Here is an 18,657-nt window from a genome sequence, read left to right as displayed (position 1 = left end):
GATTTATGTTAATCTAAATGGAAATGACTAATGCCATAAAGCCGAAATTCCTCATGTAGTATACGGCATCTCTTTGTTTTCCCTTCCAGGAAAAAGGATGCAAAAAACACATGGTAACTGAGGGGTTTGCTTTTCTTGTGTAAAAAAAGAAACAGATGGGCACTGCACTTATTTTATGCCTTCAAATTCTTATTTCTGAAAAGCAGTGCATGGATCATATTATCTGACTAAATCTGAGAAGACTTTAAAGGCTTTTGGATACTTTTATTTTGCTACTAAAATAATTGGCTTTACCTTAACCGGTGAGAACTGGGTACACGATGTAACTGGGTACACGATGTAGGGGGAAAGAAATATTTGCTCTTTTTATCTTCTCCCTACAAATTTCTACCCTTAGGTTCTTTAGCAACATTTAACATTCTAAAATAATGTGGAGTGTTTCTCAGTGTTCTAAATGGAAAGTAATTGCTGCTTCCTCATTTTCATTTTTCATTCTTGCATTTACTTTGCTTGGTTTCTACCTAAAGTAGTTTTTTGCATGACTTTTGGCTGGAATTTTGGTTTGCAGGTGACCGCAACTTTTTCTTTGCTTCGTTGCCATTTTTTCTGATTGCCTTTTTTTTTCTTTCTGCTTCCTTTTTCTTTCCTCGCATTGCCATCTACAGCCAGGCTATATAAGAGATTTGGTAAGTTCTCCATATTTACCACAAAAGAAAAAGAATAAATAAAAATTCATAGCCACAACCTTCCCTCATGGAATTTACCCCAGTAGTGAAATTTAAATTTAAAATAGAAATGATTATGGTGATTTCAAGTACCTTAAAGCTGCTAACAAATATTCCTGCTAGAAACATGTATTCCAGGTATTCATTCTGATTATAGACATAGTGCTAAATTTAATTAAAACTCGTGTATATGTGGATTAGAATGTGCTGTTCTGTAATAGTAGTACCGTTAGGTGTATGCATTTGGAATATGTCTCAAGTGTGGCAACTATGTACTCCTAATAGTACTTTTTGTTGATATATGAAAACTGAAATTAAGACTTATTTTGAAAAATCCTTATACATTACATTATTACAGTGTCCAAATGTAGCTTCAGATATTTTGATTTCAACTCTTACAATATGATTTTGGGGTACGGGGTGCGTAATTCAATCTTTTGATCTTTTGTCTCAGTTCTCCCATGAGAGAATAATGTTCAATGGTAAAGGTGATGTTTACTCATGTTTAGATAACAGCGAGAATCTTGGAGGCCCATCAGAATGTAGCTCAGATGAGTCTAATTGAAGCCAAGATGAGATTTATTCAAGCTTGGCAGTCACTACCTGAATTTGGCATCACTCACTTCATTGCAAGGTCAGTGGTTCTAAGCATCTATGTGTAAACCTTAATCTGCATTTTTGCTTAATCTACCTCATGTAATTAGATATTAAACATCTAAAGCATACCTATGTAGACCCATTAACTCATATTACAATAGAATTCAAAGACTGTTAGAATGTATTTTGTAAGCTTTTAATTTCTACATTAAAAATTCAAGATAATTGTGTTTGTTTTACTACTAAGAGAATAGCACTCTTGGCCAGGCACGGTGGCTCACGCCTGTAATCGCAGCACTGTGGGAGGCCGAGGTGGGTGGATCACGAGGTCAGGAGATAGAGACCATCCTGGCTAACACGGTGAAACCCTGTCTCTACTAAAAATACAAAAAATTAGTGGGGCATGGTGGTGGGCGCCTGTAGTCCCAGCTACTCGGGAGGCTGAGGCAGGAGAATGGCGTGAACCCAGGAGGCGGAGCTTGCAGTGAGCTGAGATCGCGCCACTGCACTCCAGCCTGGGCAACAGAGCAAGACTCCGTCTCAAAAAAAAAAAAAAAGAATAGTACTCTTTTAGGGTTAGAGAGAACACTTATCTTGAAGAAAAGCAGTCCAACATGTTCCCCCACAACATGTTTTTAACCGTTCTTTTCTTAAATGTTATAGGTTCCAAGGGGGCAAAAAAGAAGAACTTATTGGAATTGCATACAACAGACTGATTCGGATGGATGCCAGCACTGGAGATGCAATTAAAACATGGCGTTTCAGCAACATGAAACAGTGGAATGTCAACTGGGAAATCAAAATGGTAAACTCATAACAATGTTACTTGAATATAGTCCTTCTCTGATACAAATTAGTACATTAAGAATAAAAAGGCCTATAAATTCTGATGATTATTTGTACCACCACCTCTTAAAGTACAGACAGACCATGGTTGACTATTCATTTCTCACTTAAATTTGCCTATTTCATAATTAGCCCAGTTACTAAAATTCTAAGTGCATAATTTGCTTAGAATGTTGCCTTTTTTGTCTTTCTGTAATGGATAAAGCCGATCTACTCTGAAATAGCAGCTACTGTTTGTTGAATGCCTACCCTGTGCCAGACATGATACTTAGAGGCTTACATTAGTACCCTGTCTCTAAACCTCATCACAGCCTTTTAAGGCAGTTGGACAAATGAAGACACTGCAATAGAGAGACCTGAGGGCCATCATTGTCTATGACCACGCACAAAGTAACTACAGAATCATTTCAAACTCAGATGCTTTAGGCTTAAAAACCTGGCACATTTACCACTGTACATCATGTTGCCCCCAGTCTTGGAGTATACGAGTATCATTTAAAATGAACCATCTTTTACTAATAAGTCATTTGGTTTAGCATCATATTGGATTTATTGTATCAATTCCTATTACTTCAAAGAATCTTATATTTCTGAAATACTCAAACGTGATACCTAAAATTTAAGTATCTGAAGCGAACGTTAAAACACAGGAAGTAGGCTTTCCTGCACGACTTGAAGAGAGGCATTCTCATTAATTGAATCAATCACCAGAGACCATTTGAGAACTGAACGACCTAAAACCCTTGCATTCCTAGTCTTCCTTTTCAGAACATGAAAACTTAAAGTGTAGGGGAAGGGCAATAAACTTAGCTTCTTCTTTGGGACTTAAAGGCATTATTCGTTTAGGTTTTAGACAGACTGATCATTTGAGGATCAACAAGTGTTTTGTGATATGACAGACTTTAAGTAGCACAGTAGTTTTGTGTGGACCCAGCCACCTAGCATTTGGGACAGCACTGATGGCTCTTGTCTTTGTTCCAGGTCACCGTAGAGTTTGCAGATGAAGTACGATTGTCCTTCATTTGTACTGAAGTAGATTGCAAAGTGGTTCATGAATTCATTGGTGGCTACATATTTCTCTCAACACGTGCAAAAGACCAAAACGAGAGTTTAGATGAAGAGATGTTCTACAAACTTACCAGTGGTTGGGTGTGAATAGGAATACTGTTTAATGAAACTCCACGGCCATAACAATATTTAACTTTAAAAGCTGTTTGTTATATGCTGCTTAATAAAGTAAGCTTGAAATTTATCATTTTATCATGAAAACTTCTTTGCCTTACCAGACCAGTTAATATGTGCACTAAACAAGCACGACTATTAATCTATCATGTTATGATATAATAAACTTGAATTTGTCACACATTCCTTAGGGCCATGAATTGAAAACTGAAATAGTGGGCAAATCAGGAACAAACCATCACTGATTTACTGATTTAAGCTAGCCAAACTGTAAGAAACAAGCCATCTATTTTAAAGCTATCCAGGGCTTAACCTATATGAACTCTATTTATCATGTCTAATGCATGTGATTTAATGTATGTTTAATTTGATATCATGTTTTAAAATATCCTACTTCTGGTAGCCATTTAATTCCTCCCCCTACCCCCAAATAAATCAGGCATGCAGGAGGCCTGATATTTAGTAATGTCATTGTGTTTGACCTTGAAGGAAAATGCTATTAGTCCGTCGTGCTTGATTTGTTTTTGTCCTTGAATAAGCATGTTATGTATATTGTCTCGTGTTTTTATTTTTACACCATATTGTATTACACTTTTAGTATTCACCAGCATAATCACTGTCTGCCTAAAATATGCAACTCTTTGCATTACAATATGAAGTAAAGTTCTATGAAGTATGCATTTTGTGTAACTAATGTAAAAACACAAATTTTATAAAATTGTACAGTTTTTTAAAAACTACTCACAACTAGCAGATGGCTTAAATGTAGCAATCTCTGCGTTAATTAAATGCCTTTAAGAGATATAATTAACGTGCAGTTTTAATATCTACTAAATTAAGAATGACTTCATTATGATCATGATTTGCCACAATGTCCTTAACTCTAATGCCTGGACTGGCCATGTTCTAGTCTGTTGCGCTGTTACAATCTGTATTGGTGCTAGTCAGAAAATTCCTAGCTCACATAGCCCAAAAGGGTGCGAGGGAGAGGTGGATTACCAGTATTGTTCAATAATCCATGGTTCAAAGACTGTATAAATGCATTTTATTTTAAATAAAAGCAAAACTTTTATTTAATATTTATTTTTGTACTTGTTTTTAATGTTTACATAGTATTAATTTAGTAGAAATGAACTTCTGCCTTTTGGAATTGCTTTGCCTGCATGTTATTTTGTGAGAACAACTGGTTAGTATTCCACAGCGTTGCCAGATAGAGATACTTTATCTCAAAGATAGTCTTTCACCTCAATTGAAAAGCCCTCATTTTCTTAATACTTAAAAATGAATGTGTAATATCTAAATGTTAGAAATGTACTTATAAATAGAAGTTGGCTGTGGCAGAATTTGTTTTAAATAACAAAATTATTCTTGGTTTACAAAAAAAAATACATTTACGAATTTACTCCCAGTCATTACTGCTGTCATCATTCAAGACTCAGATTTCTAGTCCTTTACCCTTTGCATGTAATTAGACCAATTCCTGTTGATTTTCCCCTCACACAGCCTTGCATCTTTTCTCTTGTCATTGCTGTCACCGTCATCCAAATTCAGTTCTTTGTCCTGTGCCTGCTGTAGTGTGGCACCATCTTAAGACAAGGCTGTGATGACATTCTCCATGACTTTTCTTTGTACTCCAAAGCCATAACAGGCCTTGCTCCTAAATCTAAGAGCTCCTTTCCACTAAACATTTTAAAATATACTCCCTTTCCTCATCTTTAGTAAGTGACTGTGCAAGTCACCAACTTACATGTCACTTATTAAAAGCCCCAAAACATGTTTGATTGAAACCACACCTATTCAAGTGCTTTCTAGTCCCATGGCCTCCACACAAGTGAGAGTAGCCTCTGTGCTGATTGCCACACCTCTGGTTTGCCCCGCTGCCTTCCCAGTGATCTTGAGATTAATCCAGCCCCAACATAGCGCTAGCTGCATTTCAGCGCTAATGACTCCTTATTGCCTACAGGATAAAAGCCAAAGTAAAGTGCTCAGAGGTTTTGTATGGTCTCCGAGCCCACATTTTCATCCTTATCTCCCAACAATCTGCATTCCAGTCCAGCTGGGCAGCTCACATTCTCCACTTTGCACTCATCCATCCATCATTCCCCAAGTCTGGAATGTCTTTAGTCCTGGACCTTCATCCAGTTTGTATCTGTCTACACCTCATCTGTCTAGCATTTTAGAAAAAGGTCAAGTGGGCCTGGGGTGGTGGCTCACACCTGTAATCCCAGCACTTTGGGAGGCCGAGGTGGGTGGATCACGAGGTCAGGAGTTCAAGACCAGCCTGGCCAAGATGATGAAACACCGTCTCTACTAGAAATACAAAAATTAGCTGGGCATGGTAGCACATGCTTGTAATCCCAGCTACTCGGGAGTCTGAGGCAGGAGAATTGCTTGAACCCAGGAGGCGGAGATTGCAGTGAGTTGAGATTGTGCCACTGCACTCCAGCCTAGGCAACAGAGCAACACTCCATCTCAAAAAAAAAAAAAAAAAGGCCAGGCGTGGTGGCTCACGCCTGTAATCCCAGCACTTTGGGGGGCCGAGGCAGGCGGATCATGAGGTCAAGAGATCAAGACCATCCTGGTCAACATGATGAAACCCCGTCTCTACTAAAAATAGAAAAATTAGCTGGGCATGGTAGTGCGCACCTGTAGTCCCAGCTACTCAGGAGGCTGAGGCAGGAGTATCGCTTGAACCCAGAAGGTGGAGGTTACAGTGAGTCAAGATCTCGCCACTGCACTCCAGCCTGGGTGACAAAGTGAGACTCCATCTCAAAAAAAAAAAAAACCAAAAGACTCAAGTGCTCTTTCTTCCATAAACACTTCCAAGTTTCCTTGCAGCCAAAAACTCTCTTCCTCCTGAACTGCCATTGAATTTGGTCCTTCTGTGGAACTAAAGAGTAATCGTCCTTATTATGGTTGAGTATATCATGTTGCCCCTAACATAGAATTGTTACATCCTTGAGGACTGGATCTTAGTGCTATGGTTTCTACTTAGAATCAGTTACACATGGGTTTATTGAATATAATGATGGTTATTTTGGAAATAACCAAATTATTAACCAAACCAAATAACCAAAGGAATTATTATTAGAACTCAGAATTTTTGTAGCCTCAGTATAGTTTAATACAGAGCAAACTAACTTGGACACCAACTATGCAACAGGAAACGTGCTAAGTACTCACTCTTTCAAGGATTCATACAATTCAGCCTCTTCATTTTATAGATGAGGCTCGGGGAGGCCAATTGACCTGTTTAAAGTCACACATCTATGATTACTGCCAAGGCCAATCATATCCCTATCTAGTAGTAGTAAAAACAAACCTTTCATGAATTCTGAGACCACTATTAGTAGTGACCTCTCTAGAGAGAACATAGGTCTGTTAGAATACTAGCTGGGACTTCCAGAGACGTAGCTTCAGCTTTCTGCTCCATGTGACTCAAGCTCAGTTGGACATGAAAGCACTGGTGACAGAACCCCAACCTAGCTCCCATCCAATTCTTTCCCTTAAATCATCAGGTTAGAAGCCTGCTGGAAGCCCCTGGCAGGGCGCAGTGGCTCAAGCCTGTAATCCCAGGACTTTGGGAGGCCGAGGCGGGTGGATCACAAGGTCAAGAGATCGAGACCATCCTGGCCAACATGGTGAAACCCCGTCTCTACTAAAAATACAAAAATTAGCCCCAACTACTCAGGAGGCTGAGGCAGGAGAATTGCTTGAATCCGGGAGGCGGAGGTTGCAGTGAATCAAGATTGTGCTGCCACTGCACTCCAGCCTGGGCGACAGAGTGAGACTCCGTCTCAAAAAAAAAAAAAAAAAGAAACGTGCTGGAAGCCCCCTGATGCTGATGTAATTAATCAGTAAGTTCAACTCAGTACAAATTATGTTTTACATACTGTGAACTTTCAAAGTCAGGGAGCTAGAGACATGAACTTTATCAAGGAAAAGCCACATGCCATTCTTGACCCTCTACTCTTACAGAGGCCAAAAAGCAAGTACATCACAGACTATACTGTTATTCTGTATATTGTATTTTTACTTTTTAAAAAACATGCTGAATCTTATTAAGATGCTTTTAAAGATCAGTTAGTGATGCAGTGAGATCATAATTTCTATTCCTTAAAACTAAGTTTTTTTTGTTTTGGGTTTGTTTTTGAAAGAGTGTCACTCTCGCCCAGGCTGGAGTGCAGTGGTGCGATCTCAGCTCATTGCAATCTCTGCCTCCTGGGTTCAAGCAATTGTCCTGCCTCAGCCTCCTGAGTACCTGAGATTACAGGCACCCACCACCACACCTGGCTGATTTTTGTATTTTTAGTAGAGACAGGGTTTCGTCTTGTTGTCCAGGCTGATCTCGAACTCCTGACCTCAGGTGATCCTCCCTCTTCGGCCTCCCAAAGCACTGGGATTACAGGCATGAGCCACCGTGCACAGCCACCCTTATAACTAAGTTTGATAACGGACACAGCTGTTTTATACTCATCACTTAAAACATGGTAACGTCTTCACTCATCACGTCAATAATTCAGAAAGTCTGAGCACAAGGCTTTCTGAAATCCATCCCTGTGTGACATACTACATCACTGATACTGAATGGATAACCCTGCACAGCCGCCATCTTCTCTCTCCTTAATTCTAAAAACAGAGACACTGAGTTACAAATCCATCACTCACAAAATGTTTTTGTAGCTATTGCATCATCACCTCTTTTTGTCCTATAAATGGCAGAAGAAAGGCAAGGATGAGTTAACTTGCTACATCGGTGCAGACCTAATGAACATGGTACAATAAGTTGATCCAACTCTTACTCTGCTGATATATTTCCACTCATCTCTACAAAGTAAGATCTAGGAAGAAGTTGTTTACTGGAGAGCTCTGTTCTCTTCAACAAATTAACTGTGTCTTTATCTGTTTGAACTGTTTTGGTCTGGCAGCTCAAGAATGAAGGAGGTGGCAGAGATAAGTGACAGGAAATGGGAAATTTGCAATCTGGGTAAAGGGAGTAAAATTCTCAGAGTGAATTGCAGAGCTACCCAGAACAGGAAGCAGTAGCCAAAAAGCCTTATCTGGTGACCTTATTTCCCACTGTGTTGATCCTCTCTTGTTTTCTCTGCTTTATTTAATAAACAGTACAAAGTTTCCCAGGCTGATTGTGTACATTAAAATTCCCTAAATAAACAGTTATCAGCATACACACACACTCTCAGTTGGGTTTCCCTTTTGATATTTGTTCATGGGCCTTCATATTACTAAAAATTACAAGCACTTAAAATAATTTGAGACCATTATTTCATGAGATCTAATTAGTCTCATGTGGCTTCACTGGCCAGGCATTATCTGTTTTACTGCTCAGGGAAGTGGTCCAAGTTCAATGTTAATTAAATTTGTGATTAAAAACAGCACAGCCAACCAAACAAGTTTAAAATTGTATCGTATTAATACAGTTTGCAGATACTGCATGATAAAGAGGAGGTATGAGCATAAAATTCTCATCTCAGATCTAAATTTTGTGACCTTTATGACAAGTAAGATTCAAGTGAACACGTTTACTGTCAGGTTTACTGATAAGCGTATTTAAACAACCTTGTTTATGTCGTGCTGGCCTAATTATAAATCCAATTAGCCTTAGAAGGAACATTTGGAAAACAGAAGAGCAAGGGGCCAGGATAGCCAAAACGTTCCTAAACAATAGGTGAGGGGACTCGCCTTACCACATAACTAGTATAAAGTATGTTGAAAGTGTAGCGTTGGCACAGAGATCAATAAAACAACCAGAGAATCCAAACAGAAGCTCCAGAATACATATGCCCACATACAGACACTTGGTTTCTGAGAGGTGGCCGTGCAGATTGGGACAAAACAAAAGGGCTTCCCAATGAATGGTGCTGGTGCTTATCTTTTTTTTTTTTTTTTTTTTTTTTTGAGACGGAGTCTTGCTCTGTCGCCCAGGCTGGAGTCCAGTGGTGTGATCTTGGCTCACTGCAACCTCCGCCTCCTGGGTTCAAGCGATTCTCCTGCCTTGGCCTCCCGAGTAGCTGGGACTACAGGCGCCCGCCACCACGCCCGACTAATTTTTGTATTTTTAGTAGAGAAGGGGTTTCACCATGTTAGCCAGGATGGTCTTGATTTCCTGACCTTGTGATCCACCCACCTCGGCCTCCCAAAGTGCTGGGATTACAGGCGTGAGCCACCGCACCCGGCCCTGGTGCTTATCTTTATGAAACAAGAATTTGGACCACAACCTCATACCTGTATGTATAAGTCCAAATCAATTCCAAATGGGTCACAGTGTTGGATGTGAACGGCAAAACCACACAACTTTAAAAAGATGACAGACCATTTATATGACATTGGGGAAAGATATTTCGTGTAGAGGCACAAATAGTACAAACTGATTACATTAATGAGAACTATGAAGCTGCCGTAGAGAGTAAAAGGCAAGTCCAGTTGAGAGGATATTTGCAACACATAATTGACAAAGGATTGGTATCCAGAAAATGAACCCGCACACAGATCAATCAAAGGAGAAATGGACAAAACATTCGGTATTTCACAAAAGAGGAAACCTGAAATGGCCAATAAATCTATGAAAAACTGTTTAACTTCACTAGTATTCTAGAAAATTTGGGAGAAATAAATTTTAAATACAGTTTCAGGTCTACCCATATTAGTAAAATATTTCAAATCTGACTATCAAGTATGGAATCATTGGAATACGTATTGTTGGTGGGAGTATAAATTGGAACAGAGCACTTCAGAAACACTTCAACATCATCTGGTAAAATTACAGATTTATCCTACCCCCATGAAATTCCACTGCGAGGTATACAAACACCCTAGGGAAACTCCTGCGCATACACACCGGGAGACAAGCACAAGAATATGCAAAGCGCACAACTTAGGAAGAAACTAGGAACAATCAAATGTCTCAACAGTAGACTCAACTATAATCCAGTCCTAAGATGGAATGAAAACAGCAATGAATAAAATGCCAATACACAAAACAGCACAGATGAATCTCAATCTGATGCTGAACCAAAACATCTAGATGCAGAAGATACATAGTAAGATTAAACTTATTTATAGTCCAAGATTTTTAAATTTTTTCTATTGTGTAGAAAACTACTGTATTTTTAAAAGACTCTTGGTGGTTCTGAAATCCACTGCAAAAGTGACACTAAAAGTCAGTGCAGCCTAATGGACGTGAGTCTTGCTCTTGACAGCTGCCACTCTGCTTTTTTTTTTTTTTTTTTTGAGACGGAGTCTTGCTCTGTCACCCAGGCTGGAGTGCAGTGGCACGATCTCCACTCACTGCAAGCTCCACCTCCCGGGTTCACGCCATTCTCCCGCCTCAGCCTCTGGAGTAGCTGGGACTACAGGCACCTGCCACCACGCCCAGCTAATATTTTTGTATTTTTAGTAGAGACGGGGTTTCACTGTGTTAGCCAGGATGGTCTTGATCTCCTGACCTCATGATCCGCCCACCTCGGCCTCCCAAAGTGCCGGGATTACAGGCGTGAGCCACCACACCCGGCCTACTCTGCCCTTTTGATGTGCTTTCCTGAGCCTGGATGAGATCAGCACATGGCTCTGGCCTCTGCTGCCAAGTGAACCTCTAATTGGCTGACTGTTTAGCTGCCGTGGTTTAAGAATGGAGCTAATGAGCCCCGGGTCAGGGGTTCAGTCTCCTTGTGGTCCAGTTGGCTTTGTTCTTTGTTTCATACTCACAGGCTGTACCACTATCCTGTAAATCCCATAAGAGAGAATAGACAAGAACAGACCTATCAGCTCTATTAGAAAATCAACTCTAAGCTCAAAGATCTGGTCAGTATACAAATCACAATATTGTGACTCATTGTATGAAAAGGTCAACACAAATGTTACTAAATGGCCCAAGTCATGGCTGAGAAGTCAAGGAGCTTACCAGACACCTTCTCTTGCAGCCTGGATTTTAAAGGCGTTGCTGTACTCTAGATCCAGGCCTTCCATAAATGCTAACTTTAGCAAATAGGAATTCTAAAAATGATGTTGACTCTCAAGAAATTATCCTACACTTTCATGATTTGAAAGTGCTTTATTGCCGGGCATGGTGGCTCACGTCTGTAATCCCAGTGCTTTGGGAGGCCGAGGCAGGCAGATCATGAGGTCAGGAGTTCAAGACTAGCCTGACAAACACCGTGAAACCCCATCTCTACTAAAAAAAAAAAACAAAAAAATTAGCCGGGTGTGGTGACGCGTGCCTGTAATCCCAGCTACTTGGGAGGCTGAGGCAAAAGAATCGCTTGAACCCAGGAGGCAGAGGTTGCAGTGAGCTGAGAACGCGCCACTGCACTCCAGCCTGGCAACAGAGCGAGACTCCGTCTAAAAAAAAAAAGAAAGTGCTTTATAGATGTATGAACATGAAGACAACAGTATAGGAAAGTTAAAGATTATTGCTGTATAGCAAAGCAATCTTGAAAACACCTAGAATCTATTTTGTTTTGCTTTTAAAATGTCCCTGGTTTGGCCAGGTGCGGTGGCTCATGCCTGTAATCCCAGCATGCTGTGGGGGCGAGGCAGGTGGATCATGAGGTCAGGAGTTCAAGACCCACCTGGCCAACATAGTGAAACCCCTTCTCTCCTAAAAACACAAACAAAAAAAAATTAGCCGGGCGTGGTGGCAGGCGCCTGTAATCCTAGCTATTTGGGAGACTAAGGCAGGAGAATCGCTTGAACCTGGGAGGCAGACGTTGCGGTAAGCCGAGATTGCGCCACTGCACACCAGTGGAACTATGAGAACTATGAAGCTGCTATAGAGAGTAAAAGGCAAGTCTCTGTCTCAAAAAAAGACTCCGTCTCAAAAAAAAAAAAAAAAAGTCCCTGGTTCATATAGAGAGTACCAGCAGAAGCAGTAATTACAGGTACGTAAAACCATTAGAAGGCTTAAAGATATACATATATATTTGGTAAAACTAGCTCCGGGCAGCTTCAGTGAAAATGGAAAAGGCAGAGTATCATAGACTAAAGGAAACACACCTGAGCTTTGTCTACAAGGGTTTATTTTGAATGAAAAGCCATAATTTTTACCAGCAGTGGCAATACCAGTTGATCTGTACCAAAGATGGGGAAAGGAAGCCCTAACTCTTCAAAAACAGCCTCAACAGGGAAGAAACTTACTTGCCAAGAGCAAATAGGTAGCTAATAGGAGGCTACTGTTGAGATCCTCCTTGTCACTTAAATTTGACTTTTGTTTCTAAACCTCATACCCAAGGAACAACTTTTTATAATCAGCCTAAATGTCTTCATGGAAGGTTTATAATGCTTTAGTTTCAGGTATTCTCAAAAGAGCCTGTCTTGTCCTGTGTGTCACGTTTCTTTCTGATTGGGCTTTAGTCTCTAGCTTCCGTGCTCCAAGTACTCGCCATCTGGCAGTACTTTAGAAATTTCCTTTTACTTTCTCATAGATTCTGTTGAAAGCAACCACATAATGAAAAGTAAATGTCTTCTGCTTATTCTTAGCAGGAAGCCGGAACTAAGTTCCTTGCAAGGCCCCATTCCAGACCTTGCGGTGCTATAGATGGAGCCTACACTGTGACCTTGACCTCTTTCACATGCCCAGAATTCCTCCTATGAAGATCTTTAAAGAGGGAACTGGACAGATGTTTTCTTTAATCTTCATTGGTTAAGACAAATCCATGCAATGTAGAACTTCTAGAGGGTTTTGTTGTTGTTGTTCTTTAGGCAAACAACATGAATGAACAATGTCTCCTCTACTTCCAAGAGCTGCTTGAGAGCAAATTATGTTGATCCTTAAAAACGATTTCTAAACCTGTAAGATCTGATTGTAAAACTTGCTCTTGAGGCCGGGAGCGGTGGCTACCGCCTGTAATCGTAGCACTTTGGGAGGCTGAGGCAGATGGATCATTTGAGGTCAGGAGTTCGAGACCAGCCTAGACAACATGGTGAAACCACATCTCTACTAAAAATACAAAAATTAGCCGGGCATGGTAGCGAGCACCTGTAATCCCAGCTACTTGGGAGGTTGATGCAGGAGGATTGCTTGAACCCAAGGGGCAGAGGTTGCAGTGAGCCAAGATCTCGCCACTTCATTCCAGCCTGGGAGAAAGAGCAAAATTCTGTCAAAAAAAAAAAAAAAAAAAAAAGGCCAGGCACGGTGGCTCATGCCTGTAATCCCAGCACTTTGGGAGGCCGAGGTGGGTGGATCACCTGAGGTCAGGAGTTCAAGACCAACCTGACTAACGTGGTGAAACCTCATCTCTACTAAAAATACAAAATTAGCCAAGCATGGTGGTGCATGCCTGTAATCCCAGCTACTCGGGAGGCTGAGGTGGGAGAATCGTTTGAACTGGGCAGGCAGAGGTTGCAGTGAGCCAAGATCGTGCCATTGCACCCCAGCCCAGGCAACAAGAGCGAAACTTCGTCTCGAAAAAAAAAAAAAAAACAACAATGCTGGGTGTGGTGGCTCATGCCTGTAATCCCAGCACTTTGGGAGGCTGAGGTGGGTGGATCATGAGGTCAGGAGATCGAGACCAGCCTGACCAACACGGTGAAACCCCATCTCTTCTAAAAATACAAAAATTAGCGAGGCGTGGTAGCGTGCGCCTGTAATCCCAGCTACTCAGGAGGCTGAGGCAAGAGAATCGCTTGAACCGGGGAGGCGGAGGTTGCAGTGAGCCGGGGTCATGCCACTGCACTCCAGTCTGGGCAACAGAGCGAGACTCCGTCTCAAAAAAAAAAGAAAAAAAGAAAAAGAAAAAAAAAAACTTGCTCTTAATTTATATCCTGAGAAATTAAGCTAAGAAGCTGTCCATATTCCATAAAAGCCTAGGGCATAGTCTTTTGCAATCTGTTAAGGCAACTATTTTTTAAAAGGGGGGCAGAGGTTTTAATAACTAAATGTTTATTACATAATTGAGTGATGTCTCTATATAAGAGGTCACAAATCAAGGAGGCCAGTCAGTTCATATTGTTCCAAGAGATCTACAAATTCAGAGCTCTTCCTCAGTCTGTACTGACTCTGAGGAAGCAAGTAAAGCTGTTTGGTCAACATATTCTTTTGAGAAAGGAAGAAACTTCCCTTGGAGAGCTGAAGACCACAGCAGGTTACTAAAGTTGAGTGGGGAGAGGTAGAAAGCAAGGGGCCATTATCCTTTTAACAAATTGGGTACTTTTAGTGTCCAGAAGGAAGAGAATACTATATTCAGTGAGGGAGGGCCCAGGGGTGAAAAGACTCTTGGAAGACAGCACACAAGAAGTTTGATACATGTCACAGGGCCGGCTGATTATGATAAGCTACTGAGCACATGATGGCAGGGATAAGTGTTCAGTGGGCAAAGAGAGGCCATGGGCCACAGCGACCCGGGCCAGGGGAGAGGGCAGGAAGGCACAGGCACGAGGCAGGGAAGCCAGGTTCCAGGTCAGCGAGGAGCTCCACACCCTGACATGAAAAAATGGTAGGTGCTCAATAAATATTTGTGAAAACCTCCAAGAGGGATTTTTTACAAAAAGAAATTGGAGAAAATCCACAAACGAAGTCATGTGGAACAATGTAGCACATGTTTGAGTTATTCAAATGAAGCTAAACTTAGCCAACTATTTCCCAAGTGCAGATGGGAAAACCAGAACATGAGGGAGACCCTATCATTTAAAATCATCCTGAAGAAACACAAGAAAAATAATATGTGCCTGTGGCCAGGTGTGGTGGCTCGCACCTATAATCGCAGAACTTTGGCAGGCTGAGGTGAGAGGATTGCTTGAGCCCAGGAGTTCCAGACCAACTGTACAAAAAAAAGAAAAGAAAGAAGGAAGGAAGGAAGGAAGGAAGGAAGGAAGGAAGGAAGGAAGGAAGGAAGGAAGGAAGGAAGGAGAAAGAAAGAAAGAAAGAAAGAAAGAAAGAAAGAAAGAAAGAAAGAAAGAAAGAAAGAAAGAAAGAAAGAATGAATTAGCTGGGTATGCCGGGTGTGGTGGCTCATGCCTGTAATCCCAGCACTTTGGGAGGCCGAGGCGGGTGGATCATGAGGTCAGGAGTTCGAGACCAGCCTGGCCAATATGGTGAAACCCTGTCACCCTGTCTCTACTAAAAATACAAAAATTAGCCGGGTGTGGTGGTGCTTGCCTGTAGTCCCAGCTACTTGGGAGGCTGAGGCAGAAGAATTGCTTAAACCCGGGAGGCAGACGTTGCAGTGAGCTGAGATCGTGCCTCTGCACTCCAGCCTGGGCAACAGAGCAACACTCCATCTCAAAAAAAAAAAAAAAAAAAAAAAAAAAAAAAAAAAAGAATTAGCCAGGTATGGTCGTGCACACCTGTAGTCCTAGCTACTTGGAAGGCTGGGGCAGGAGGATCACTTGAGTCCAGGACCTCAAGGCCACAGTGAGCCATGATTACACCACTGCACTCCAGCCTGGGTGACAGAGGGAGACCCTATCTCTAAAATAAATAACATTTTAAAAATACATGCATGTGAAGCATCAATTGTAACCTAAATTAGTTTAAATGCTCATATTGTTTGTTCGTTTAAGGTGGAGTCTCACTCTGTTGCCCAGGCTGGAGTGCAATGGTATGATCTCAGCTCATTGCACCTCTGCCTCCCGGGTTCAAGTGATTCTCCTGCCTCAGCCTCCCAAGTAGCTGGGATTACAGGCATGCGCCACCAAGCCCAGCTAATTTTCATATTTTTAGTAGAGAGAGGGTTTCACCATGTTGGTCAGGCTGGTCTCAAACTCCTGACCTCGGGTGATCCACCCGCCTCCACCTTCCAAAGTGCTGGGATTACAGGCATGAGCCACCGCATCCAGCTGAATGCTTGTATTTTTAAAAAGCAGTGGAGGAACAAAAATGAGAAAGCAACAAAAAAAGTTTTACAGAAGTCTAAGATAAAGTGGTATAACACACTGAAGCTTCCCAAACAGGATGTCATGGAGAAGACCCATGGGAAGCCCAATGTCCATTAAAGACACTCCTTACATTTAGGATGAGGAGAGAGAGATGGGCCAGAAACAGACACCAGCACATGAGCACATCCTCAGGGGAGGACAAAAGGGAAGGAACGAGATCACAGATAACCAGCAAGAGAGCTGAAGCGTGGGAATCTTTTTGTGACATGGCTAGGAGTGCACAGAGACCTTAGACCCGGAGCAGATGTGCTTAAATCTGCTTCTCTAAAACAAAATATGTTGTGGTGCTCAGAGCAACTTCTGTGAAGGGATTTGGAAACACCGTGACCCTAAATAAATCGTCAAAGACAGCTCTTTCTGGTAAATTCCATCTAGGTCCTCTAGAGAAAAAAATGACACCAATAACCAACACTATGCAAAGCAAGGAAGAGAGACCAGCAGAGCCCTTCTCATCCCACAGGTCTGCACTCAAGACATCTTGAGGGGCCTTCCCTGACAACCCTCTCTAAAGAGTCCCCACAGGGGTCTTATTATGTCCTCAGTGTCTGTCTCCCAGCCTGAGAACTAGGAGGCCACCCTCAGCCGCACGTCCCCAGTGCCTAACAGGGCCTGGCGTAGAGAAGGTGCCTAAACCAGTTCCTTGACTGAAAGAAGAAAAGAACTCCAGCCAAAGGAAAAGATCAGCCCGTAACAATGTGAGAACACGGAAGTGAAAGTTGCTAATAAAAGAAACTCAGAACAGTATTCCAGGCCCGGGCTTGATGTGATTATATGCTTAGTTTTTTTTTATTAGCTGGATATACATTTTTTTTCCTTTTTCTGCTATTTTTAGGTCTAAAATCTTAGCCTTCTCTATTACTAGCTGTTTTAAAGACAGGAAATAGAGCCAATTTAAATACTGACCCAATCAAAACAATCCAGAGATAGGTGCTCTCAAATTCAAAAGGCAAACAAGAAAAAAAAGTCAGGGTCATCTGCATTATCCCTTTATGTGCTATTTGTCAGGAATGTGGAGGCAATGTCATGGAGACAAAGTTCAGGAGTTAATTCTCAAGTTAAGTGTGAAGGTGAAGAGTCTACTGCAAGGGCAGAGCCCCTTTCTCATTTATTCTTACCCAAATCTCCTGCAGTATGACCCTATCATGCCAGTTCCCAAATATCAGTCACATTCAAAATAAACAGAAAAGGATTTTTCCAAAACCAAATAATAATTTTTTGTGTTTTTTTTTGTTTTTGTTTTTGTTTGTTTGTTTGAGACAGAGTGTTGCTCTGTCACCCAGGCTGGAGTGCAGTGGTGTGATCTCAGCTCACTGCAACCTCCACCTCCTGGGTTCAATCGATTCTCCTGCCTCAGCCTCCTGAGTAGCTGGGATTACTGGTGCCCGCCACCACGCCTGGCTAATTTTTGTATTTTTATTAGAGACGGGATTTCACCACGTTGGCCAGGCTGGTCTCGAACTCCTGACCTCAGGTGATCTGGCAGCCTCGCCCTTCCAAAGTGCTGGAATTACAAGCATGAGCCACCGCACCTGGCCAAGAATACATTTTTCTAAAGGTAATCTCTGCCCCACTTTCCTCCATGAGCAGTCATGAACACTTATTGAACAAGCAATGGTGCATCAGGGGCTTGACAACGCACTCGACACCAGAGGTGTGTGATCTCACATGAACGCAACAAGCCTGAAGAGGGAACCAGACTACGGAGAAGTCAAGAAATTTTCTCAAAGCCACATAGCTGCAAAATGGCTCCAAAGCTTGTAATAGTACAATGTGTTCTGTCCCCTTTACATGGATAATTGAACATTGTCCAGGAAAGGTACAGGGATGGCAGCAAACTACGATCTATCCAATCAGTTGGTTTTTATATTTCATGAATGCTTTTAAAAACTTTTTATTATGAAAACATTCAAATATATGCAAAGTAAATGAACCAAGCCTGGCCTGCATAGATTTTTAAATCATCTTTTCAGCTCCTATTAATATATTAATGACTGCTCGGATTATGCTTGAGATTGTACCAAATCTCTATTTTACTTTGGGGAGAAGTGACATTTTAATATTGAATGTTTCAATCCACGGGTATGGTATTTCTTTCCATTTATTGGAATCTTTAAGAGAAAAACTGTTATTAGAAATATCTTATTCCTAGGCCAGTTGCAGTGGCTCACACCTGTAATCCCAGCACTTTGGGAGGCCAAGGCAGGCAGATCATTTGAGGTCAGGAGTTCGAGATCAGCCTGGCCAACATGGTGAAACCCCATCTCTCTACTAATAATACAAAAATTAGCTGGGCGTGGTGGCGCGCGTCTGTAATTCCAGCTACTTGGGAGGCTGAGTCAGGAGAATTGTTTGAATCCGGGAGGCGGAGGTTGCAGTGAGCCGAGATCATGCCACTGCACTCCAGCCTGGGCAACACAGC

General features: G+C 41.7%; 1 protein-coding gene and 1 long non-coding RNA gene across 9 annotated transcripts in view; one reads left to right on the top strand and one right to left on the bottom strand.

The window, feature by feature from the left end:
• Positions 1-4,427, top strand: part of FERMT2 (FERM domain containing kindlin 2) — a 93,778-nt gene extending 89,351 nt beyond the window's left edge. For 2 of the 7 annotated variants that reach the window (XM_006720010.4, XM_006720008.4), the window contains 5 exons: positions 90-113; positions 666-686; positions 1,235-1,359; positions 1,986-2,127; positions 3,150-4,427. In XM_006720010.4, the coding sequence (XP_006720073.1) occupies positions 90-113; positions 666-686; positions 1,235-1,359; positions 1,986-2,127; positions 3,150-3,323 (486 nt within the window). In that variant the 3' untranslated portion in view covers positions 3,324-4,427. Of the gene's footprint in view, positions 1-89; positions 114-665; positions 687-1,234; positions 1,360-1,985; positions 2,395-3,149 lie in introns of those variants that run through there. The other 5 variants (NM_001134999.2, XM_006720009.4, NM_006832.3 and 2 more) reach the window with 3 other exon arrangements.
• The window catches only part of LOC105370500 (uncharacterized), a 138,447-nt gene that overhangs the window by 68,535 nt on the left and 51,255 nt on the right, over positions 1-18,657 (bottom strand). The gene's annotated exons all lie outside the window — the stretch shown is intronic.

Source organism: Homo sapiens, chromosome 14, assembly GCF_000001405.40.
Source record: "Homo sapiens chromosome 14, GRCh38.p14 Primary Assembly".
Taxonomy (NCBI): domain Eukaryota; kingdom Metazoa; phylum Chordata; class Mammalia; order Primates; family Hominidae; genus Homo; species Homo sapiens.
This window is presented reverse-complemented; position numbering and strand designations above follow the sequence as displayed.